The sequence below is a fragment of the Homo sapiens genome, chromosome 9 (assembly GCF_000001405.40).
Source record: "Homo sapiens chromosome 9, GRCh38.p14 Primary Assembly".
NCBI lineage: Eukaryota > Metazoa > Chordata > Mammalia > Primates > Hominidae > Homo > Homo sapiens.
The window spans coordinates 90,846,296-90,872,748 of NC_000009.12; the positions used below are offsets into that span (position 1 = coordinate 90,846,296).

At 44.6% G+C, this 26,453-nt stretch overlaps 1 protein-coding gene across 9 annotated transcripts in view; it reads left to right on the forward strand.

Moving 5' to 3' along the window:
- The window catches only part of SYK (spleen associated tyrosine kinase), a 96,950-nt gene that overhangs the window by 44,696 nt on the left and 25,801 nt on the right, over positions 1–26,453 (forward strand). For 5 of the 9 annotated variants that reach the window (XM_011518946.4, XM_047423809.1, XM_005252147.5 and 2 more), the window contains 4 exons: positions 15,911–16,049; positions 18,294–18,372; positions 18,753–18,802; positions 20,836–20,904. In XM_011518946.4, the coding sequence (XP_011517248.1) occupies positions 15,911–16,049; positions 18,294–18,372; positions 18,753–18,802; positions 20,836–20,904 (337 nt within the window). Of the gene's footprint in view, positions 1–15,910; positions 16,050–18,293; positions 18,373–18,752; positions 18,803–20,835; positions 20,942–26,453 lie in introns of all 9 variants that reach the window. The other 4 variants (NM_001174168.3, XM_047423810.1, NM_001135052.4 and 1 more) reach the window with 2 other exon arrangements.

Consider the following 26,453-nt stretch of genomic DNA (forward strand, 5'->3'; position numbering starts at 1 on the left):
CCCTGGGGGAAATGATCCCCTGGTCACCTCTCAGTGTCCCTACAGAGATGCTTACCTTGGAAACATAACCAGAAACAGCGATGCAGCCTCATGGTTTGGCAATTGGTGAATCCCCAGCCGACTTCGTAAACTTTTCCTAGATTTAGAAGCGTTTTCTCTGCCTGTCCATCTATTCAAAGGAATTTCCTCAGACTTCACTGTCATACCTTGTATTTTAAAAATGATCTTAGCTGAGTGCAGTGGCACGCACCTGTAGTCCCAGCTACTCCTGGCAGGAGGATCGCTTCATCCTCACTATGATCTCACTATCGTTTGAGGCTAGTTTGAGACCAGCCTGGGCAACATAGTGAGGCCCTGTCTCAAAAAAAGAAAAAAAGAAAAGAAAAATTGACCACAATACTCTTAAAAAAAAAAAAAAAAAAGGAAGAAGGAAGAGTGGCCCAGGTTGCCACGCGGCAGTGCCTAGAGTGATGGTCTTTAGTGGGATGCAGCCCCAGCCAGCAGCAGAATGCTGTGGGGAGGGAAGACATTGCCCCTCAGTGGAGGCACCTATGGCTATTTTTGCTGAGGTTTGGCTTCTTACCATCTCAGCAATAATTTCCAACATGAATGTCATGGGACCATGCACATAGCATCTTGGCATGTGAAGTCAACCCAAAATAGCATAATCCACACGATGAGGCTGGCCAACTTCTGCTGGTTAAGAAGCCTGCTCATAGCCTCTTTGGCCACGAAGCTGTTTCTTTTTTCGGAGTTGTCTATTCCCGAAAACAGCAGTTGCATCCTTCATGGCCATGACTTTTGCTCTCTCCTTCCTTTCTGGGAGATGTATATAAACCCCATGCAGAAGGCTGGGAGGTGCAGCTCTTGTTTGATGAACATGCCTTGTTCCCTATCTGCCCTGTACAGACTGACATCTCATGTGTCCTCACAGCACATGTCCCTGACACTGAGGCTTATGGTTTATGCAAGAGAGTCTCAAACTTGCCGTGCTTCCTATTCAGCTGGTGTCAGAGCTAACCAGGCATGGGCCTGTGAGAGAGGGGCCTGGGCTTCTGTGTTTTCATCGAGCACCCTCTCCTTAGTTGTCTTCTTCTCCTGGGTTCTTATTCCTGGGTTCTTATTCTCCTGGGTTCTTATTCCACTTTATATTGCAGTTGTCCAGTTATCACCCCATAATTGCCAACCTCCCAGATAATAGCTTCCAAGGCTTTCTCCCTTGTGTTGTCCACAGCTCAGTCCCACACCTTCCCGTGCTCCCTCCACACCTGCAGGGCTCACCTGTGGACTGATGGTGCATAGCACCCCATGCCCAGGCCTGGCATCAGGCAGGGTATTAGTGAGAGGGAAGAGCAGAGCTAAGCCTGGGCAGCAAGACCCAGCTTCAGAACCCATGTTCCCATGATGGTTGTAGAACCTTAGACTAAGGGAAACTTTCCCCAGGCTCTGCTCCTCTGGGTCTGTGACTGTCTTGAGGATTCAATGAAAATACACACCACGTACACCGCACAGCACATGTGGTCATCACTGATGTAGCTTTTCTTCTCTCTTCAGTGCTCTTTCTCCATCATGAGCACCAGGAAAGTCTCCTTGTCAGGGTATCTTATGGTGTTTTTAACAGAGAAAGTGTGAGGAAACACCTTGGAGGGGTTTGCCACCTGGCAATTTCACCTCTTGACAACCTTTCATCTCCTACAGAACCTGGCTGGGGTTCTTGGCTGTTGCTGGGTGTGTAAACCTTCCTTGTTGCAGTGTAGTGGGCGTGTTATACTGTGAGTGTTTGAATATGGTTGTGTATGCTTGTGGAGAGCAGGGAGAGTTTGCCAGCATACTGGATACAGTCCAAGTCTACCATGCTTCCAGCACGGGGCAGGGTCTGCATCCCTGAATACAACGTCTCCCAAGTCCAGGTTGCCTAGACGTTGGTCCAGATTCTTTCATCTTTAGAAGTGTTTGTTTGTGTGTTTCTTTCATGGGAAATAGAGCTAAAAGGCTCCAGGGAACTCTTGTAAACCATCACCAGATCCTGTGGCTGCCCTCTCAGTGTGAGTGCGTCAGCTCCTGATTCACTGTGGGAGTCTGTCCTATATTCCCCTGTTGGGTCAGGCCAACGTTGCAGGAAGTCCCAGACCTGGTTTTGAATCATCCAAATCTGCCCTACTTGCAGATAGTTTTATAAAATGCACATTATTTGCAACGAATAGCCACAGCACAAGGTCTTTGGAGTCAGAACTAGATTCCAGTCACTGCTGGATGTCCTCACTGAGCCAGCTGCTGTTTTTTTCCCACTGTTCTTCTCGGGCCTTCATTCAGATTCTCCTAACGAATGTGCTCATGTCTACTTTCCAATCATCATGTCAGCTAATCCATCCATGGACCAACATTACTGGAGTCTGTAGTTGCATGAAGCACTAAGTGCCAGGCACCATTCTGGACTTTGGGAAGGGAGAAGTGAATCAGCAAGCACCTGCCCTCATGGACCCTGCATTTCAGTGGGAGAAAAGACGCTGAACAATAGGAAAGAACTGCATTTAAGTAAGGGCGTAGAGCACACTGGGGTATGGATGCTGGGTCTTCTTTCTGCTGCGTGGGGAGGATGGACCTTGCTGTGAGGGAGGCCATTGAGAAGAGGCCTGAAGGCAGCGAGGAACCATCCCCACCCAGGGAATGGCAAATTCGAATGCCCTGTGGCAGGAGCGTGCCTGGGGAGCAGGGCACCCACAGAGGCCAGTGTCACTGGCAGAGAGTGAGTGGAGAAGGGTGGAGTTGAGGGCCAGGTTGCAGAGCACTCACGGCACTGGGAGGACCCTGCTTTGGGCAAGTTGGGGGGGCTGTCTTTAGGAAGCAAAGGGCCAGGGCCAGCTGACATTCGGTGGGCTCTGCCTGGCTGCCACATCATCGGTTTGCTGTGGGGAGTTGTGCCTGTACATATACTTGCAAACCAAATGTGTTGATTTTTTTATCGTGATTTCAGGGCCTTCACTTTCTCATGCCTGAGCATCAGTCAGTTTGTCTCCGCTCTGATCTCCTGTCCACCCCACCCACCGTGCTTTTACCTGGGTCCTGTACAGGCCTGTGGGCTGGCCCTTAAGAGGTTTTCAATGAATGCTTGTCACCTAAATCAATGAATTGTTTGGATCCATTCTCCATCTCCCAGCTCGTTTTTGCTTTCCACTTCCTGACATGTAGTAATACCACTGTAGTTCTGTATGGGGGCAGCTCCACACCTGTCTATGTTGGGGAGGGAATGGGGATTCTTGCACCTCTTTCTACCTCCTCTTAAATCATTACTGATGGACAGATGCAGGGACACAGCAATAGATATAGAAATATAAAAACATGACACTGCGCACTCTATGGTTTGTAAGATTCACTTTCTCTGGGTAGGAGGCAGTGTGGCCTGTTAACAACATACCATTCGGGTTGTCTGGCCTCAAATGCTGGCTCCACCTTATCACCAGCTATGGGACCTTGAGCAAGTTACTCAGTGGTCTGTTTCCTTCATTTCTTTGTCTGTAAAATGGCTTTAATGTCATCTCTGACTCTTAGAGTCATTGAGGGTTATAGAGTATCATAAACCGAAGGCCTGCTGCACGGTGCTTGGCACCGAACGAAGCAGCTTCACCCCACTCCTGCAGTGGCCTGGACCACACTTGGATACATCAGTAACATACACTGAAGGTCAGGTCCTCCATGCAAACTCTTTCCATCCCTGCATCACAGGTGTACCATGACCTCTGCAGGTGAGTCATTCTTCTGCAGGTGAGAAAACCAGGCAGGTCCCCCTTATCCTTCCCTTCTCTTCTTCAGTCTGCAGTAGGTGTGTTTATTTCCACTCTGTGGCTATGAATAGATAGAGTGAGAGTCACTGGCCATAAAAGGATTCACACTAGGCTTTTGCTTTTATGAAGTGACAGACTTAAATAAAGAATAATTATTTCGGCCGGGCATGGTGGCTCATGCCTGTAATCCCAGCACTTTGGGAGGCTGAGGCGGGCAATCACAAGGTCTAGAGATCAAGACCATCCTGGCCAACATGGTGAAACCCCATCTCTACTAACAGTATAAAAATTAGCTGAGTATAGTGGTGTGTGCCTGTAGTCCCAGCTACTTGGGAGGCTGAGGCAGGAGAATCTCTTGAACCCAGGAGGCGGAGGTTGCAGTGAGCCAAGATTGTGCCACTGCACTCCAGCCTGGGCAACAGAGCAAGACTCCATCTCAAAAAATATATATATTATTATTATTATTATTTCACAGAGGGGGTTGGAAGTTTATTTTTGCATTGCAAGCCATAAACTAATCAAGAGGATTTTACTAGTTTGGTGGATAATATGGGTAAACAAAATCCCAGCGATTACTCTTCACACTTTCATCGTGAGTACCAATATGCTGTCTCCACCATTCAGATGCCAGCATTTCAGTCTGAGAATCGCTTTACGTGGAAAGTGGCATTGGTAAGAATTGGACTAAAAGGTAAAAAAAAAAAAAAAAGAATTCCTGAAATGCATGCACCTCCATAGCCATCACAAAATGCCTTTGCTCAAACAGACCTTGAAAACACTGAGGGTAAGGCAGCATATTTTGGAGATCAAAATCTGATTATAAATCCTAGGTAATGCAGTTCAAAATGCAGATGATGGAAGCAGATTACGTCTGGGAGATGCTGTCCAACTCGGATCCCAGTTTTCTCTCCTCAGAACTATATGTGAAATCCACTTACAGTGAGAGTACACCTGAGCTAGAGGGCATTTACCACTTAAGGGGGCTAAACTTATTGTTTTTCAAACAAGAACTCGGGTGTGGAGGAGCTTGTCCAAGGCAGGAAGGCAAAACCAGGTCCCTGATGTTGTCTGGGGCTAAGCAGAAACAGCAGCCAGCAACCAAATCCATCTCCAGATGGATCCATCTCCACAACCACAGGCCCCTCCCTATTCCCCATGCAAGATGCAGCACCAGGGCATGTCCATGTGAAATCTCAGAACACACAGAGGCGTCCATCAGCTTTCCCCTCTCTTGTGTCCTGTCCACAGAGCTTACCCACACCATTCAGGAGTGACTTTGAGAAGGTAGTTACAGGGCCTTTGCACATGTGCTTGAAGAATAACGAATATAAACAGAGGCTCTTTGTGGAGGGGCTGGGCAGTGTGGGTCAGTGGTTGTCCCTCACAGCCGCCTGTGGCATTTCTGGAGGTGATGTTCATCACCTGGCCTTTGCTATATAAGCACTGCCCTTGTCTGGGGTCTAGCTGGCCAGAAGCGAGCACTGGAGGGGGAGTCCTCCAGCCCACGTTTGGTGGGTGAGGGTCAGAGTGCTGCCTTGTTGGTGACGTCAGGGACCAAGGCAAGGGAGAGGAGCTGAGTGGGGAAGGAGATCCCCTGCCCCCAGAGGCCTTGTATAGCAGCACAGTTTGCTATTTTGAGAAGCTAGTCACAGCTGTCTGTGAAAAATGAATTTGTTAGGAAAAGGAAACAAAGCTTACTTTATAAAAATTATATATCCCTTCCCCAAAAGGGAGGATCCAGGATTGAGGGGTCCGAAGCATATACAATTTGAAGACTCTCTTATTTTTTTAAAAATATAAAATTAGGCATACAATAGAATGTATTTTTTGGACTAAGGAAAAAAATTCAATAAATTAGAATTTTTTTAAAGGCTGGTCAATACTACAAGCATACAAACTTTAGAAAAGATAATGTAATATTTTAATTAACTGCCTGACACGTCTCTATAACACCTTTTGTTTCCTCCATGTCCTTGACTTCACTGTGTTTGACTACATCTTAGTTCAACAATATTTAATAATATATTTGTCTATATATAGAAAAAGAGACTATTCATTCCTTCCTCTAGGTTCACACTTCATTATTAATAATATCATGTACATTTTTAGAATCCTTGTCAAATTTGGGAGGGGAAGATAAAGTAGAACAGAGTGAGCTTCCCTGGCTGTGACTAAAATATCTTTTGCAATCTGTACAAAACCTAAGGCCGTGCAGTCACATTGCTGGGCTCCTCTTGGTCTGGAGGAGGCTGTGATCAACTCCTCTCTGACCCTCATCCACTTGGTTCACACAATGTGGTTTATTGCCATTGTGCACAGCCAATTCTCCCACACACATCGCTCTGCTAAAATGTAATGGGATGTGGCCTTCATTTCATCTTATAAATGATCTTAGAATGGAAATGCTCTAAAAAGTCCATGCCAGGCAAAATTTTAAAGATGGAAGTATTGTTTCTTTGTATTAAGTGTATTGTTTTTGGCTAAGAGTCCTTGTAAATCTTACAAAGCCAAGAACAATTTCAAGGTGACCTTTAAGACACATAAGTGGCTGCTCTCCAAATAGCTCGATTAATGTTAAAAATAAAAGGTAGTATTTCAGATTTGTGGATGGAGTCGTCCAACCAGTAAGTCACCAATGCTATTTTAACTACAGTTTCTACCTTCTGACTTTAGAAAAAAAAGTTACAAAAACAGTCATTCATTCAACAAAATAGGCATGTTTTCAACCAGACATGCAGCAGGCATTGTGATAGGACTTGGCTACTGTGAGGAATAAGTCAGACCTTAGTCCCTGCCCTCACCGGACTTTGACTGCAGGGGGAAGATGACAAACGCAAGCTGATGTGCTGCAAAGTCTGCAATGCATGGCAGTAGGTCCCCTCCACCACGACACTGGGCCTACGCAGCATGATCTTGATTTTGTTTTCATTTACTTGTTTATAGTCCCCACCCCCACTTGTGCTGGATGCACAAGGGCAGAGATGGGGCTGTTGCCTTCACGAGTGCAACCCAGCACCTAGAACATGGTCTTGGTGGGAAAAATCTCTCTGGGTAAAGGAACATTCTGGCTGCTAACTTGAATGGTGGCCACTACTTGGATAGGAGGAGGGACAACATGGTTCATCGGGCCTGTCTCAGGTGCCCAGGCTGGACTATCATCTAGTGTGTCGCTAACTATAGGAACTGGGAAGTGGCCTTCAGAGCAAGTGGGCTGACTGGATTTGGCAGAGCTTGACACCTCACCAGGCAGATGCAACAAAAGAGCAGGGCAGACCCAGCCATCCCATTACTGGGTATATACCCAAAGGACTATAAATCATGCTGCTATAAAGACACATGCACACGTATGTTTATTGCGGCACTATTCACAATAGCAAAGACTTGGAACCAACCCAGATGTCCAACAATGATAGACTGGATTAAGAAAATGTGGCACATATACACCATGGAATACTATGCAGCCATAAAAAGTGATGAGTTCATGTCCTTTGTAGGGACACGGATGAAATTGGAAATCATCATTCTCAGTAAACTATCGCAAGGACAAAAAAACAAACACCGCATGTTCTCACTCATAGGTGGGAACTGAACATTGAGAACACATGGACACAGGAAGGGGAACATCACACTCTGGGGACTGTTGTGGGGTGGGAGGAGCGGGGAGGGATAGCTTTAGGAGATATACCTAATGCTAAATGACAAGTTAATGGGTGCAGCACACCAGCATGGCACATGTATACATATGTAACTAACCTGCACATTGTGCACATGTACCCTAAAACTTAAAGTATAATAATAATAAAATAAAATAAAATAAAAAAGAAAAAAAAGAGAGCAGGGCAGCAAGAGATTCACGGGGTAGCATGGGTATGGTGGCCAGGGCAGGCCTGGATGCCTGCAGGAGAGGGAGGGAAGTGAAGCGGTGGATGCCGAGTGGGTGTGCAGGAGCCCGGGCATCTACAGAACCCCAGTCCGAGCCCCAGGAGGCAGCACCATGTCATGGTCACGTGGTGCCCTGAGACCATTTTGGTGCCCTGAGATTCTATGGATGGTGGCAGAGTTTTCCTTGATGGTGGCAGACTGGCCGGGTGGTGGAGGGATTGGCACGTGGCTGCCCCAGGCCACACCATGAGGTGTTGAGAGAGATCCTGGCTGCTCAGCTGCCCCGAGTGTGCAGCATGGAGCAGGGGCGGCTGCTCTGACGGCTCACAGCAGGAGAGGCACCTGGAGAGCTGGGCTGTGATCAGGCCCAGTAGTTTGCAGATGTCTGGAGAGAAACTGAGTCAGAGAGGAAGCCCAGGAGGTTGTGAGCCTCAGCGATCTGAGAGGCATGCATGTTGAAGAGTGAGTGAGGAGGATGGGAAGCCTGCAGGCTTGGTGGGTCCTAAAGTTGCAAGAACATCACTGTCCCCTGCAGCTAAGTGGGCCTGATGTACTCCACTCAGGCCACAGTTGCTGTACATGATCTCTTGGGACCCTAGAAGTGCTCCTTTCCATGATAGCTCTTTAATACATTAGTTAAAACGATTCCCAGGAAGCCCTTGTTCCAAGTATGCAGGATCAGATAAAAAGCGCAGAAACCCTCAGAGCAGGGACCGACGGTGAGTGCAGTTTGCCCTCAGAGGCCTTGGTAGTCACCCCTTCCCAACCCCCATGCCACCACTGAATCCCCATGTGGCTTGTTCTTATATGCCCTGCAGCTGAAATTCAGGTGCCCTCCTGACCTTCCTTCCCCTGTCCATTTTGAAAAGAAATAAGCAGTGTAATCTTTGAGTCATCCCTTTTGTACTAGCCAAGTTCCAGGTGCAGCATGACACACTCGTTATCTCCACCTCTCTTCTCCCCTTCCTTTCCCTCATGTCTGCACACACTCCCATCCCCTCACTTCTTCCCCCTACAGCCCGCCTCTCTCTCTCTCACACACACACATACATACACACACACACACACACACACACACACTTGAGAACCGCGGCTGCATATCATCTCCTGTGGACCTGTGCACAACCTGTGGGGCCCAACTTAAAGTACTGCATCCATTCTCCGTGGTTTATCCTAATTTAGGTTTGTTTCCTGGTCATATAGAATACTGAAGTATATGTCTTTAGGAACTGTCTCAATTTCTTAGAGAAATGGGATATACGTGAATAAAATTTTTATGATTCCCTTATACTGAGTCCCACTTGCACTGCAAAGGATTAATAACATCTGTTTCCAAAGCAAGGCGTCACCTGCCATGCAAGCCACCTGCTGGGGAGGGGAGGTGAAGGGTGTGAGCATTGGTGAGAGGTGTTGTTCTCATGTTCAAGGTGACAGGTATGTTATCTGGTGTCCCCAGGCTGGGTCCCACCCAGGGCCTGCTCCTGGACGAGGGCTGTATGGCTCTGATTTGCACACCCCTGATTCTGGTGGACACAACCCTTTTTCTTAGAAAGCCAGAATCACTGTATCTTCTAGTCCTTAGCTGCATAAAAAAATGGGGTGCAAAACTTCTCTGGACTGTCTATTCTTATTGTTCATTGGTTTATCCTGCAGGGCCACCCATGGAGCCCGTAACTTAAGATGCACAAATGAGCTATTGAGTGAATATGTGTGTGTGTGTGTGTGTGTGGGTGTGTGTGAGAGAGAGAGAGAGAGAGAGACAGACAGAGAAAAAGAAAGAACCATCTGGAGGGCTGGCAAAAGCACAGATGTCTGCGTTCCATCCCCTGAGTTTTTAATTCACAGGTCTGTGTAAGGACTCTTCCATTTGCATTCCTGCCAAGTTCTCAAATGATGCTGATGCTGCTGGTCTGGGGATATGGTGTGAGCCTGTTTGAGATACCTGTTACCTACCTGGGCTGGATTAACAACTATGATCATTTGAGATTTTCATAGTTCATTGGAGGGTCTGTAACTGCATTTGCAGTTGCAATTCCTGCAAAATGCCCAAATACTGTATTATTGGACTGGTTCCGATAAAGTTATCTTTGAAAATGCCTCTATTTCTAGAAACTTAAGTTAGATAGTAAAGAAATTCAGGCCATGAGTCAGACAGGCCCTGCCACTTAATAGCTCTGTGATTTGGACAACTTAATTTTGCTCTCTGAGCCTCTGTTTCCTCAGTAATAAAATGGGGAGACTGATGTTTTATCTGAGTCATTATGGAGATGACTTAAGTAATGTGTATAAAGCTAAGCCAATGGTTCTCATGTCTCTGTGGTTCCTACATCCATGAATTCTTTTCTTTCATCAGTTCTGAAAAACATCTTGCTACTTTTTTCTTCAAATATTGCTCTCTGTTGTTCTTGCCCATTTCTTCCTTCAGAGACTCCTATTAAATACAGTTTGACCTTCTCAATTCATCCTTTATATTTTTTATTTTCCCTTGCCTTTTCTGTGTCCTGTGCTATGAGTAACGTCGTTGAATTATTCTTCCAGCGCACTAATTTTTCCTTCATTTGTGTCCAATCTGCTCTTACGCTCATTCACTGATTTTTTTTAATTACATTTTTTAGAAAATTTCTAGCAGTTCTGTTTGTTTGTTTGTTTGTTTGTTTTTTCAAATATTTCTGGGGCATTTTTAGAGTATCTTATTGGTTGCTAATTTCCATGGTTCCGTTTTTTATTTTGTTAAACATTTCATAGTTTATATTCTATATCTGATTATTCTACTACCGAAACTTTTGGAGGATGTAAATCTCTCTCTCTTTCCCTCCCTACCCCTTTTCTCATAACTCATGCTTCCTTATGTTTTCAGTGATCTTTCTGAGCTTATGCCTGATTGATATTAATCTGTGGGAATCCTGAGTATTCGATGCTGGGAACACTTTCCTCCAGAGTTGAAGGGGATTTCCTCTTCACAGGTCCTTGCTTTAAGGTGGGAATCCCACATCCAGGTGCTCACTGGGCTGCTGGCCTGAGATTCTGTCCCTGTCCACAGCTGTGCTGATATTGGCATTGGCCCTTTGGCCAAACCCACTTTAATTGCTCTCATTTGCCACTCACTTTTTGCTGTTCAAGTTTCAACTCACTTTTTGTCCTATACTTCAATTTCAAAAGTGAATTTGCGGCTTAGGAAAAACCTTTTCCTTGTTCATTGAGGAATGAGACTGTGTTAGGCTGTCACGAGCCTCCTTTGCCACAACAAAAACTCTGTTCCATCAGTGCTTTCATATGCTGCCGTAATTGATCAAAGTATGCCATTTTATTTGACACATGTGGTTTTGCAGACCTAGGTCATCATAAAGAGTCATGACCTGTCTGAAGTTAAAACTTCAAAGAGAGTTGTGGGCTGATGTCAATATCACTTCATTGATGCTGATCAAAGTCTCCTTGAAGCTGAAAGACAAGATGCGTTAAATAATTCCACCTTCATGAACTAAAGCAGAGGGAGAGAATGAGAGGGCGTTTGTAATAAAATGTTTTAAACGACAGGTGTGTTAAAACAGCTTGGTGTGGCCTCAGATAGGGATTGTGTACTGATCTTGCTCTTCTTTGTGTGGAATGCACATGTGCCTCAGTAGTGCTATGGCGCAAGGCAGAAGCACTCAGAAGTTGCATTATCTATATCTTTCATGGATCAGTAAAGCTGGCATTTCTCCTGCCTCTTGCTGACATACACACTGTTCAGGACCTCATTCGCTCCCACATCCTCCTCTTCCCCTCTCCCAGCTCTCTTTGAGAAACCACTGTTGGGAGATGGCTCTGAGTGAGAACTGCCCACCCAACCCAGCACAGGCCCCCTCTGTCCATCTGCCCAGCCCACCTTAGCCACAGTGAGCATTCATCCTTTGCACATCTAATGCACACAGCCAATCCCAGGCATCTTCCTTCCCCTTGTATGAGTCTGACAACTGACCCGGTGATACTCTACTCTGCCATGGAAAAAAAATGGCAGGGGAGAATGAGAACACCTAGTGGGCTGGAATGTGCCCGGCTTTTCTGTTCCGTCTACAGCAGATACAGGCAGTGTCCCCGTAGCCCTGGGGAGGCCACCTTGAGTGCCTCACTACTTCTTACATCCTCACTTTCCCCTTGGTGCCCGGGCATCACCTCTGTATATTCTCTCTCCCCTAGGAGGGTGCAGGAGAGTAGAGGAGTCCAGCCCTTCCAGGCCATGCCCCAGCAGAGTCAACATGCCTCACCTTTGGATAGTGTTCTAGTGTCTGTGAGGCACAAGGCCTGCTCACCCCAGAGGCCAAGGCTGCCTACCCTGGGAAAGTAGACATGCCGCAGGTCAAGGACTGTCTCAAGACCAGTTAGGACAGCTTCTCAGCATCATCTCAAGCTCAAGCCCTGGAAATCTCAGGCTTTGCAATAGCAAAACACAAATCTGTTAACTTACTCCTCCCAAGACAATTACTGGGAAAAAATATTTTGTAAATATTCAAAGGCTTCTGTGAACAGCCTGAGGCCAGATGACCCTGAAGGCGGAAGGCAGCAAGCCAGACAGGAGCCAGGAGCCTTGCCTGTGTGCACGCCCTCTCTGGGTGTCTGTAGAGCCATAAGCCTGGGTGGGTGTCCTGATGCCACCACCAGGGCAAAGCTCTCAGTAAGAGGACACAGCCAAGAGGAGGAGCAAGCCTTCCAAATCAGTTTGTCTCCTATGTTTAATTAAAAATGGCCTGGTCCAGGATCTGCCTGCAGCCAACAGATACCTCACAGTTGCTGGTGGTTAATGTCGCGAGCCTTCTGGTCTTTGCCACCTACAGATGCTGGGCCTGTGGGTTTCCTTTCTCTGCTCTTGTTTCCTGCCACCTGCCACAGGGGGCTGCCCAGGCCACATGTCCATGGTCACTACCTATACCTTCCAGTTACCTGTTGCCAGGACTGGCCAGGGCTGCTTGGTGGAGCACAGGAAGAGAGGGGATCGCCTGCAGAACCTGTCCTCTTGAAGAGCCTCAAGGAAGTGAGGCCTTTGCAGAAACTGCTTGTTCCAAAGCAAAGGGCACTCTCTGTTTCCTCTGGGTTGCTCTCTATTTCCTCCTGGTACCAGCTCTCTTTTTATACTGCTTTTATTGTGAAATATAAAACAAACACATAAGAGTGCATAACTAAATAGGTACAACTTAATGAATGATTATCAAGCAAACACAACCCAGTCAAGAAATGAAATGCACCCAGCATTGCAGGAGACCACTCCGCCCTCACACACTCATACCCATCTGTACAGCTGGCCTCCTGGGAGGCACCACCTCCTGAACTCTTGTGTTCATCACGCCCTTGCTTTTTTTGTTATTTTTCATTTGTTTGTTTTTTTAGTTTTACCACCTAGGTGTACATCACTAGATAAAACAGGTGGCTTTTGTCTGTTTGGGGACTTTGTGTATATGGTAGCATGGAGTGAGTTTTATGTTTGTGAGACTCATCTGTGCTTTGTATAGCTACCATTTGCTCATTTTATTGCTTTAGAATACAGTATTGTGTGAATTCCTACAATTTACTTGCTCTGTGGTCACTTACGTTGTGTGCAGTTTTTGATAAGCACAGATGAAGCTGCTATAAGTAGCCTTGGGGTGCATAGTGCACACATTTCATACACCTAGGGGTGGAATTGCTCATTCACGAGGTCTGTGAATGAATAAGTTCAGTTTCAGGAGACTGTTCCAAATTGTTTTCCAAAGTGGGTGAGCCCATTTATGCTCCCACAAGCAACGTAGGAGGGGCCTTGCTGCTCCCCACTCTCAGTAGCACTTAGAATGATCTTTCTAACTTCCACCAGTCTGAAGAGCGTGGAATGGTACTTCCCTGGGGTCTTCATTCATGTTTGCCAGATGCCTAATGAGGTTGATGGCATCATCTCTCAGGGAAACCTGTGCTTGTCTGTCTCAGTTTTTAACAAGAAAATGTCAATCAAGACATAGGGTAAGATGGAGTACAGCAGATTGGACATGGATTCAGAAACCAGAGTTCAGATCCCATTTATTACTACTATCTTTTTTTCTGGAGAGATGGCGTCTCACTCTGTTGCCCAGGCTGGAGTGCCATGGTGCAGTCTTGGCTCACTGCAGCTTTCACCTCCTGGGCTCAAGTAATCCTCCTGCCTTGGCCTCCCAAAGTGCTAGGATTACAGATGTGTGCCACTGCACCTGGTTCAGATCCCATGTATTATCTCCATGACCTTGAGGTCACAGACGTAAAAGATTAAATTATAGGAAATACTTTGGAGTGACATATTGTCACCATTCTTTCAAGGCCAACTTTTATAGGCATATGCATCCACTCTTACTGCTGTAGTATTTGGATAGCTCTCTATACCCTCAAACTATAAGCCACTGATATGTATAGAATAAACATAAATAGTCTCACTTTATAAGATACTTTCCCTATAAAACAGACTCAGTTCTCTCTTTATATGAAAAGATTACCATGTGGTTTTTTGTTGTGTTGTGTTGTGTTGTATTTAACAGTCACCAACTGCTGGCTGTAGTCGGCCATGTGGCTGTGAAAAGGGAGCTCACACCTTGGGCGCTGGCAACTCGGTTGGTTTGGGAAGAAGAGGTTGTTCTCACAGTGGGGAGGTTTCAGCACAGCCACCTGCTGAGGCCACAGAGAACCTAGATATGTGTCCTGTACCCTGGCCAGCTGCCCTGAGCTGTGGGGTGCTGTGCATGGCCAAGCACCGCTAGAAAAGACACTTATTCTGAATTTCACTCCTCCCATGCCATCGTTCAGCTTTCAAGTCTTGGGTTAGCTTTTTGAGATAAGTCTCCATGGCAAGGGACAGGAAAGCATGGCCATGTCCAGTTCTGAAGGCCATCTCAACTCTCCCTGTGGTCGTGTATCTGACTTCTTGCAACCAGGAGGAGGCATCAGAAATTTCCCCAGTACCCAGACGTCCCAAGGCAGTTGGGCACACTTGAACTCTGCCCCAAGTACAGTGCATTTGGGCACGTGGCTTAACAATTTTGGACCTCAGCTTCCTCATTTTAGAAAATGCAGGGGCCAAAGAGGCTTCCTGGGACTTCATGACTCACCCTCAGAACCTAAGATCTCATGAACCAAAGGGCTGCAGCTGTGGAGAGGGGAGAATGGGGCAGTGTGTGTGACTACGAAGCTAAACTGGGGGATTCGCACCCATTTCGTGCCTTTTCAGCCTCCACTGGGACCTCGAACTCCCCAAGTCCCACAGGTCTTCCAGGGGATCTCTCACCTCCCCATGAGTCATAAGCCTTACGTGGCATGCACTGCAGTGGGGGTGTTGTTCCCTGCCTGGCATCAGACTCCTGTGTTTCTGTTCACCAGGACCCAGGGCAGGGGGTTGTTCTGAGGGTCGCCCAGCATTACCATGAAGACAGAGCCTTGGCTGCTCAGCACGGCCAGCACAGCTCTGGTTTCACCTCTGTCTCTTCACCCCACAGTGGATGTCATTTTCTTCTCCTGGGGGTGTTACCCGACAATATCATCATTTGAAACTGTTTGAAGTCCAGCCCTGCCTCCCTTTCCTGCATTGGGAGCTTGGAAGTCCAGCCCTGCCTCCCTTTCCTGCAGTGGGAGAGTGGAAGTCCAGCCCTGCCTCCCTTTCCTGCAGTGGGAGAGTGGAAGTCCAGCCCTGCCTCCCTTTCCTGCAGTGGGAGCATGGGAGGGACTGAGGAAGGCCCGGGGGATGGAGGCTTCCATAACCCTCCATCTCTGGTCCAGAAGATGGCTGGTTAAAATGCCCACCAAACACCCCCACCCACACTCCAAGCTAGGTGGTAGAGCTGTCCATCTTGGATCTAACCCAAATGCAGGCCCTGGTGAAGAAAGGTGAGTCCACAGTGCTCCACAGATAATCAGGGCCCGTGGTGCCCCTGTGCTCATCACCCTGAGAAGCGTCACTGCTACTGAGCACCAGGCTCTCCTGACCACTGCCCAGAGCTCCTGGGCCCTGCTAGAGCTTAGCCATGGTCCATTCATCACCAACCTGCTAGCATTTCCTTGTTGCAAGCTTGCCCACTGGCATCATCCCTGAGTGGTAAACTGGGCCTTCCTGGGTTGGGTAAAGCCCTTGACCCTGAGGCTCCAAACTCTGCCCTCCAGCTGCCTTGCCAGGTGACAGGCCCCAGAGAGCGGCTGCTGACCATTCAGGCCAGGGTGCTTCCTCCCAGGGTCCCACCTGGAGACTGGCGGGCCTGGGGATGATGCAGTTCCATCCTCTCTTCTAGGATCCGAGCCAGAGACAACAACGGCTCCTACGCCCTGTGCCTGCTGCACGAAGGGAAGGTGCTGCACTATCGCATCGACAAAGACAAGACAGGGAAGCTCTCCATCCCCGAGGGAAAGAAGTTCGACACGCTCTGGCAGGTACCCAGCCTCCTCTCCCCACCTTGTGGGTAGAGTACAGGGCACGTGGGGCTCCTTGTCCCATGGACTCTTAGACATGAGAGGAACTGGACCACCCACTGCCCACAGTGTGGTCCCCAGGCCAGCAGTAGCTCTGGAGCTCATGAGAAACACACACCTGGACCACACCTGGGCTCCTGCCCCACCTGCCCATCAGACCCCACTTTCAGCCTCCAGGTGGCTTCTGTGTTTGAGAAGCACTGGTCCAGAGGCCGTCATGTGAGGTGAACGAAGGTTCCATGGCTTGTTCAGGGCCACTCAGCCCTCAGTGCCACAAGGTGATGTAAGTGCAGGGCTGTGTTCAGAGTTTAACAAGACACTCTCTTTGGAGATCTAGAAAATATTTCTTCCTAGGATATTCTAACTAGAGCCCAGAACAGCCTTTCAGACAAAGACACACAAAATAAAGGAATGGATGCCTGGGGAAGGAGGCCTAGGAACAGCCAAGCAGGACTTTGTTGGTGGTGTGAGAGGCTGAATTAGACAGCAAATGTCAGGTGCCCTCCTCATTGTAAATCGAGTCTCTCTCTGTGGAAACTAAGGCAATTTAGGAAGCATACTCCCTGGGCTCCAGGCTGCTGCTTATGCTGATTGCCACAGCCCTGGTCTAAAAAGTGCTTATTCCTGACCCAGCTACTAGAAAACCCTGAAACAACTCCCAATTTGGAAGTTCCTTAGGCACTAATGAGCACTAAAATAATGCTCATCACTGCTTTCCCTGAATCGCAGTGAGCACAGATTGCTTGTCTTAATTTTGCATCACAGCTACACTGGCTGATGATGAAGGAAATAACCGTAACAGTACTTCGTGCATCATCTTCGCAGAGCATCCTATAAACTGTAGTAGGTTCAGAAACAGGGAGAAAGCCAACCGACTCTGCCACCACCCCACCGCCCCAGAGCACCAGCTACCTTGAACATGTGTGGGTGAGGGGCATAATCAGGGCGTGTTCCAATGTCCTCACCCAAGCCCAGCTGGGGCCACACATGCAGTCAATGTTGAGGAAAGGACTCAACTCAAAATCCTGTCTTTTCAAAAACTGAGACTACAGAGCCTTAGCCCCTTTAAAGCACTTAAACTTACTACTTCCAAATGTGATTTGCTTTCTAGTGCTGTAATTGGAAAAAAAAAATACTCCTTTTTTGAATGCTGGATATGATCATATTAAAAAATGTTAGTCACAACATTTACATTGTCTTTTGATTTTGTGGCTCATTGCCATTTGTCATCATTAACCACAGGCTTCTTTCTTTTAACGATATTGATTCGAAAGAGTATTTAACCTTTCTACACTCAAAGCCCCAAAGCACATCAGGGAGGTGAGTAGGGAATGTGGCCTTCTGGAATGCAAAGGCACCTGGAGTCCTCTATGCCAGCTTAATGCTCCAAGGTCCCAGGCCCCATCACTTATAAACAGCCATTCATTCACCTTCTCCTGAAAGGGCATTTTATGTGTGTGGCGTTCTGTCACCATTTCAAAGGCTGAGCACTCACCATAGTGTTAAGCATCTCTAATTATTGAGAATGTCCTTCCCAAGAATCTTTACTATTTGTATTGATTCCCCTGGTAGATCATAGCATTCATCCCTAATTAAATATTCCTCATTGTATATTTTCTAGGCACTGTGTTTAGGAAACTACGTCAAAAATGCCAGCAATACGTTCCAATTTCCCATGCATGATTTCATTGATTTTTCTTGACAGCGTTCTAAGGTACTTCTGTACCCTACCCAACTCCAGGGCCCCAGTGCTATTTCACGGAGAGTTGGTGATTGCCATAATACCCTATTTCAATATTCTTTACTGTAGACCAGGGATCTGCAAACCCACAGACCAACTCTGGCTCTCAGCCTGTTTCTGTGTAGTCCCTGAAGAGAATGGTTTGTATGCTGTTAAAGGTGTTGTTTTGGATAAATAAATAAATAAACAAAGGACACAGATACGGTATGAGGCCCACAAAAGCCTAAAATACCACTTTCTGGCCCTTTACAGAAAAAATTTGCTGCCCCTAGCCCAAGAGGGGGGATCCCTAGCTGTGGGCCCACTTCCCCAGCCACCCTTGTGGAGTGGACTTAAGCACATAAAAGCATTTATGTGTCTTGGGGCCACTTCGAAAGCCCAACAGTCAGTCAGTAGCTCTCAGTCACTATTTGTCTATTTCCTGACCTTGGTATTTACCACTTTCTTACTTTTTTCTCTTTCAGCTAGTCGAGCATTATTCTTATAAAGCAGATGGTTTGTTAAGAGTTCTTACTGTCCCATGTCAAAAAATCGGCACACAGGGTGAGTTCCCAAGACACTGGAGTCTCAGTGTTTGAGGTATCAGTGACAATCAGCCTCATTTTAGACTTAGCTGATTGCAGATTTGGGTTGGATGAGGACTTCTTTTTACGGGTTGATTAATAATGATATCAGAGCACTCCGATTTTGTATATCGTGAATCAAAAAATAGCCAGTTGCTTTAACTTTAAAAAAATTGTAATTTATTTGTCTTCATTGCATGCGGGAAAAAGTAAAAGAGGGTCGAAAGAAGTACCTGCAGAAAGCGTGCTCACTTCTCAAGCAGCAGCACATCCTGATCTCATTGATTGATCTGCAGTGGGGAGGGGAAGGAAGTGGTTTCCTCAGATAGAGCAGTAATTGTCCATGCTCTCTCTAACCAGGAAATGTTAATTTTGGAGGCCGTCCACAACTTCCAGGTTCCCATCCTGCGGTAAGTGTCACTAGGAATACCACTGAATGAGAAGCTGTTGCATATTTCACAAATGAAAAGCATGTTTTAGCTAACAGGAGTAGTAGGCATTGATATTTTGATTGCGCTTCAAAACATACTCCGTGATGAGCTGGGATTGCTAGTGAGTGTTAGGCAGAATCAGCCTCCTATTAGTGATAAACTAACCACATTTTCTTTTCTTTTTTTCTTTTGCTTTTTTTTTTTGGAGATGGAGTGTCTCACTCTGTCACCCTGACTGGAGTGCACTGGTGCAATCACGGCTCACTGCAACCTCTGCCTCCCAGCTTCAAGCCATTCTCATGCCTCAGCCTCCCGAGTAGCTGGGATTACAGGTGCCTGCCATCACACCCGGCTAATTTTTGTATTTTTTAGTAGAGACGAGGTTTTGCCATTTTGGTCAGGCTGGTCTCAAATTCCTGGCCTCAAGTTATCCTCCTGCTTCGACCTCCCAAAGTGCTTGGATTACAGGCATGAGCCACCACACTCTGCCTAGCCACATTTTCTTAACTTCTTGTCTAGATGAAATTCTCTTCATTTTTGGAGAATATACACAATGCGAATGAAACCCAATATTAAATCAGAAGTAGGCCTCTTGCAATATTTGAGAAATGGGAACATATTTTTTAACTTCATCCTTGAGCCGTCTATGTTAACACACGTAATTCACAGGACCTCAGCTGTCTCCTCCCTCCAGCCTGTTAGGAAGTCAGGTACAGATTTATGCTCTAAGCAGGAATTATTTTCCTGCTCTTTTCTTGGGGCTACATATGGCCTTTTTTTTTTTTTTTTTTTTTTTTTGAGACGGAGTCTCGCTCTGTTGCCCAGGCTGGAGTGCAGTGGCGCGATCTCAGCTCACTGCAAGCTCTGCCTCCCGGGTTCACGCCATTCTCCTGCCTCAGCCTCGCGAGTAGCTGGGACTACAGGCGCCCGCCACAACACCCGGCTAATTTTTTTATATTTTTAGTAGAGATGGGGTTTCACCCCGTTAGCCAGGATGGTCTCGATCTCCTAACCTCGTGATCTGCCCGCCTCGGCCTCCCAAAGTGCTGGGATTACAGGCGTGAGCCACCGTGCCCGGCCCATATGGACTTTTTATGCCCTTTAATGCCATCTGTGAAGTGCGCCCTCTGCACCTCACTTTTTGCCTGGTAACCCTTGAAAAACAAAATCTGCAGAAAGCCAAATATACATCCTGCCTCCAGTAGGGACAATTGGCTGCCCAGTAGCTGAGCCCAGGTTGAAACAGGGGAGGCTGTCCAGGGGCAGCACTTGTTATCAAATGCAGGGAACGTGAATTTGCTAAAATACCAGTGACCTTTGGGATCAAAATGTAATGCCTTTATGGAAGTGTGACTTTATTTTGCCCTTTACAGGGCTCACAGGCCTGGCAACTCTATCTTAATATTATAGGCTCGGTGAGACAGATCCATACACCCTTCAGATGGATGAGGGCTTAGGGCTGAGAACTCTTAAAAGAATGTCAAGCCCTGTGCTTAGCCATCATCACCCAATGACTACAAGAAGTTAGATATTTTGGAATAACTTTTTAATTGACTGGTAAGATACATACGGGAAAAAAAAGGCATACGCCCTATGTGTACAACTCAATTAATTTCCACAAAATTTTCCACCGTGGAACCAGCACCCACCATGAAGAAGCAACACAACTGAGCACTCAGATCTACTTGTAGTTTCTTTCGGTGGTTTGTCTTGAGCTTACAACTTAATAATTCCACGTGAAGCATGAGCTAGTGAATGTAACAGCTCTAATTTTGTAGCCTTCAGTGGAACATATTTCCCAAATATATTTCTAGATCCTTCTTCCCAAGTGGCAGGCCCTTCCAGAAGCCTTCCCAATGATCAGGTGTTGCCCGTGGTCGATCTCATTGGCAGGGACAGGAGGGGGTTAGTGGTGCGATTATAGAAGCAAATTTAAGTAGCATGTCGTGGAAGGGATCCTGTATTTGTTTTCTGAAACATTTACTGTTCCTCTTTGCCGTTGTGGTTTCTAGACTTGGTCAGCGGGTGGAATAATCTCAAGAATCAAATCATACTCCTTCCCAAAGCCTGGCCACAGAAAGGTGCTAAAGCAACCCCTGCTTGCTGTCCAACTAAGTGGTAGGACCAACGCGCACTCAGCTCCCGCCCGCCCAGTCTGCCCTGTGTGTGCGCTGCCCCCCATCTCTTGCCACTCTGCTTCCAGGCCTCTTTGCCCTTGCTCACACCTGCTGTTCCTGGGCAGCCGCGCCCCAGGTACATCATGTGCTTTTCATGTGGGTCCTCAGTCCGTCAGCTGGAAGTCCAACAGTGTGAGCATGCTTTCTGTGCTCAAGCGTCATTTTAAAGTCGTTTCAGTTGGCGTCATCCGTCATAGCTAATTATCATGTCCGAAAATCTTTTCAAAGATGGCCCACTTACTTTTTGGTGGCCAGACTCACGTGTTGCAGTGTTCTGGTAATTGATTATGTAAGTTACGTTGTGATGGAGGGAACACCAAGGTTTTGTGAGGCGCGCTGCACAGTGAGGTCAGGCAGTGCATGGTAACTTCATTATGGCTTAGACGTCTAACATAGAACTGCAAATGTGACATGTAAAGAAGAGGTGTAATCTGAGGTCTAGAAAAACCAGTTTTCTTTTTGAGGCAGTAATGTTGACATCTCATTGATTTCCATGTTTTGTTCTATTATTGGATTTTGAGGGAAAATAAAAATAAGTTCTTTTTCATGACTTTTATTTATAATGACTTATTTATTCCTTCCCCCAAAATATGTATATATAATGTGTTTGAATTGCTTTTTTTCCATTCTACTTTTATTATCAGTGGGGTAAAATTGGTTCTTTTATCAGTAATTCTTTTTATTTTCATATTACTTGGTGTTTTTACCGACATTTTAGCATATAATTGAGCATCCACTCATGAAATAGATTGCCTAAAGTATTTACTAGAAACAACAGAAATAAAAGACATAAAACCCTTGAGATTTTATTTAGTAATAATTTTCCAAGTTTACTCATACTCAAGAAGTTCTCAATCGTGTTGACCACAGAACAGAAAGATTTAATGCAGTGTTCGAGAGGAAGAAAAGGTTTATTTTACACTTGAATAAAGTAACTATGTCTGTTTTTCATGTTTACCCAAGGCAAAACACCCCCACAGATTACTCACAGTGGCTAAAGAAATACCTAGAAAATAAGTTTTGGTGCATCTTTAGACTACAGGAGAACATGTCAGAAAAAAGTTGAAGAAAATATCAGTGACCACCTAAAAATAAAGAAGTATATGTGTAGATAACAACCATAACATCATCAAAAGAGAAATGAGAAACTGGGAGTAAGTAGCACTAATGCTGACACATAGATTAATAGCTTTAATATACAAAGAGATTCTAAAAATAATTAACAAAAATATTAACTGTCTACTAGGATAATTGGCAGGGAATATCAGTAGTAGTTTATAGTAAAGCAAATATAAATAGTTCTTAAACATATGAAATGTTGTTTAACTTCATGAGAAGAGAAATGCAAGTTAAAACTATGGTGCTTAACTGTGTCCACCTATGATCCAAATTTTAAAAGCTTGATAACACTGTAGTAAAGGCATGGTAGATAAGCACTTTCACTCTTCCTTGGGGAAGTCTGAAATGATGCAATCTGTAAGAAAGGCTCTGCAATTTTATTTCTAAGTATGTACAGATATTCTTGCATTTGTGTGAAATCATGTACATGTGAAGGTGTTTTTTCCAAAATTGTATAATTGACAAAGTCTGATAATAATTTAAATGCCTATCAATGGAAAACAAATGAAATTGGTTACAGTAAAATTGCTACTATGGGAGGCAGCTGAGATCTAGAATTGTTTTCAAAATATAATTTTAAGTGTAAAAGTCAATGTCCTGCAACACACACATACACATACATATATGCAGAATGTGTTGATATCGTATACAGTATCCTAGAAAAATACAGAAAATGCTGGCAATGCTGGTTGCCTCTGGAGTAAGAGATGGGAATGTTAAGAAATCCCACTTTTCATTGTAAACTCTGTTGTATCTTTTTAAATTTGAACCTGTTAAGAAATTTTAATCAATTTTTTTAAAACAGAAAATTAAATAGTAGAGAGTAATTAATCTGATTAATATTGTGAAAATACCTTTCTGGCAAAAAAAAAAGTTTGCTTTCTATTTAAGTTTAGAAGAACTTTAAAGTATACATTGAATTTTTTATAGAAATAAGAAACTGGAAATAAATATTACTAATGATGACACATATATAAGGCCAAAAATATCAACAGATAATTTTTAAAAGATCAAGGTTGTAAGGTTTAAGCTATAGATTAAAAATATTTTAATTGCTTATCAGAAATATTTTAGAGCTAATATGTATATTTTCACAAACAAATGGGGAACTTTCCATTATGTAATCAGTCATGAGAAAAGAATTGTGAGAATTATGTCAAATGTCCCATCATGTTAGCTAAGAGATAAATAACTTTCTTGAACTTGTTAATTTGCTCAGTGTACATAGTTGTTTTAATAATTCAGGCACAAAAAATACATGTTAGAACTTGAACTACCTATAGCATCTAGATAGTTAATGAAAAGTATGTTTAGATTTGAAGATGATTATGAATCAGATAATTTAAATTTTTCATAAAATTACTAACAGGCTGATGCATTTTAAACTTGTCTTTAGAAATTAGTAGCTTACTGCCAAGCACAGTGGCTCATGCCTATAATCCCAGCACTTTGGGAGGCCGAGGCAGGTGGATCACTTGAGGTCAGGAGTTCAAGACTAGCCTGGCCAATATGGTGAAAACTCATCTCTATTAAAAATACAAAAATTAGCCAGGCGTGGTGGCACACGCCTATAATCCCAGCTACTCAGGAGGCTGAAGCAGGAAAATCACTTAAGCCTGGGAGGTGGAGATTGCAGAGATCGTGCCATTGCCCTCCAGCCTGGGAGACAGAGCAAGACTCTGTCTCAAAAACAAAAAAAGAAAAGAAAAGAAAAGAAATTAGTAACATACTTATAAAGTATAAACAAAATTAACTTAAGAATACAACTAGTAGTCTTTAAATGAATTAAACCCCTCCCAATATTAGTCCTGGAATTTCTTTCTCTGCTGCTTTAAGCACAGAACCTTATCCTTCTTTTATGGAAAATAGGTGGAAATTAAACAGCAACATCTCTAAAAAGACTTCCAGGGAACTTTTCAGCTTTGCATTTCAAAGGCACATCCCCTAAGAGGATTAAACTGAAATGTGTCCCAGAATTTCCAATTAAAACCCATTTTTCATGTTTTATTCCAACACATACATTGGTGATTATAATATTTTAAAACTTACATTTAAGTACAGGGCTCAGTGGGAAGAGAAAAAAGAAAGAAACATCCTCAAGTTGTACCCTGTTGCTTGGTAATGCCTTAGTAGACCAGACCCTTGAGAAAATGTGTTTTCATATAATTATAAAGGAACAGATTTTAGATCTTCACTGTAAGAGAACAGTAATTGCAGAGGTCAAGTGTTATTTTCATGGATCTCAGAGCAAAGCTAATAGTAGCCTATTCCCCAGCCAACAGTCTGCCCTCGCCTGTGGGGGTCTACTGAACCAGGGTAATTCCACCAAAAAAAGGAAACCAAACCTAGTTTATTGCAGCCAATATTTCTAAAGCCAGCTGGCTCTTTTGTCACTATTATTGTGATGACTAATGACTGTATTGTCATCTGCATTACTGCTGTTGCCTAATTTGAAAATGGCCCAAGAATCTGGGAGTAAAAATTAAGATCTAGTAAATGGATGTTAGGACACTTGGCAATACTCTGGAATCAGGAAACTCTGAATGGACCTATCAGTTCCACAGACCAATAATTTTTTCCTCTTTTGTTCACTTTTGGATCACCAGCTTTTAAACATAGGCACTCAAAGAATGCTTGTCAAATACATTTTCTATTCGCAGTTAAACCTTACCAATAGGAAATCAGGGATAATAATTTATAACTGGACTTATTATTGCAGAGTGATATCCTTACCTGAATTTATAAAATTTAAAGAAAAGTCACCAGTTGTTCTTTTGGAAGGTAGAAAGCGAAGGTGGCTAATGCCATCTAGCGGTGGACTGAAGGTTTGAGCCTGTTCTGAGTATTAGCAAAAATGAAGAAAGTGGAATGGTCAACATTTCATTTACACCTTGTTGCTCACTGTGCAGAACAGATGACACTTATTGATTGGGACAGAATGGCTCTCTCAAATGCAAACATAAAGAATAAAAGGTTAATAGTAATGTAGACCGGAAATATATTTTTTATTAAAATTAAATGTCATTACATTTTTTAAGAATAGTATTTTTACAATTTATCATTATGCCACTGTGCTCATTCTTTACAAACTCCTCAAATTTTTCTTTTTAACTGAGCATTTTCTTTTAGAGATTGTTTTGGTTATTGTTCTACTAAGTGGCATATTCACCAAGTGCTTTGGGAAAGATGAAGCATGGATTTTGCATCTTCATCTTTATCATAAAGTAACTACTGTTCTTTTAACTGACTCAATAGGAAACCTCCCATTTCTTCCACATTCTTCCAGTTGTGGCATCATTCTTTGCTCCAGTCCTGTTAGTCACCAGAAAGAGATAGGGGCAGGGAGCCCAGGGATCTGGGTAGGAGAGAGTTGATGTGGGGTTGTTGAGAGACATGAGGGTTCTTTGTGGCTTGGCTTAAAAGGCTTATAATCACATAGTGGTCTGTGTTGGGCAGCATGGAAATGAAGCCCCAAGCTTTATTGGCTATAAACGTGGAGTTCTAATTTCCGAGGAAGATCTCCCATCTGTTTCCCTATCCATAAGCCAAGATAGACTAGGGGTGAACAACACACTGCTAGTGAGAGTATAAATTATTTGTGCCCAGGGGTTTAGATTCTCTGTGTCCATCGCTACTAATTCTTACTCATTCCTGACACCCTAGTATCCCTTTCAGCATATTTTGACAACCCCATCTCTGTTTTAAAATTCTTCCCTGCAGGATTCATATGTCAGGGAATTGCGTTCTGGTTTAATTGGAACAAGCCATTTGGAAGTCCTCCTGGTCTGGAGAACATTCTGTGAGGTAGAGAGGCTGCAACCCCAGGATAATGTCCTCAGTGGGAGGGACAGGAGGTCTTATGTCAAGAAGAGGTGATGGTCCCTCTCCTCACCAGTGATGGCTAGTCCGAGGACATCCTTTAATTCCACATCTGTTCAAGTTTTGTCTTTGGATCTCAGAATGTGCCTGCCTGCAGGGAAAATCAAAGGAGTTGAAATGACAGTAAATATTAACCTTGAAAGAGACTTTAAAAAAAATAAAACTATTTTCAGCCTAGAATTGGTTGCGGGAGAAAACTGGGCAAAAGAGGAGGACAGAAAGCCTAGGGGATCACCCAGTTTCTGTCAGGACAGTTTTCCAGAGGCAGGATAATTATATTATAAATCAGAAGTGAAACCACAGCACAGTCCTGTAATCATATGTAAATGTTTAAAAGAAATAGATTGTCATTTGGAATTATTCATTCTTATTTCTCTTCATCAGCATAAAGGCTTGAGAGAGAGCTAATTTTTAAAGCACATTAGATTATACTTCACATCTCCTAGTTTTTAGAA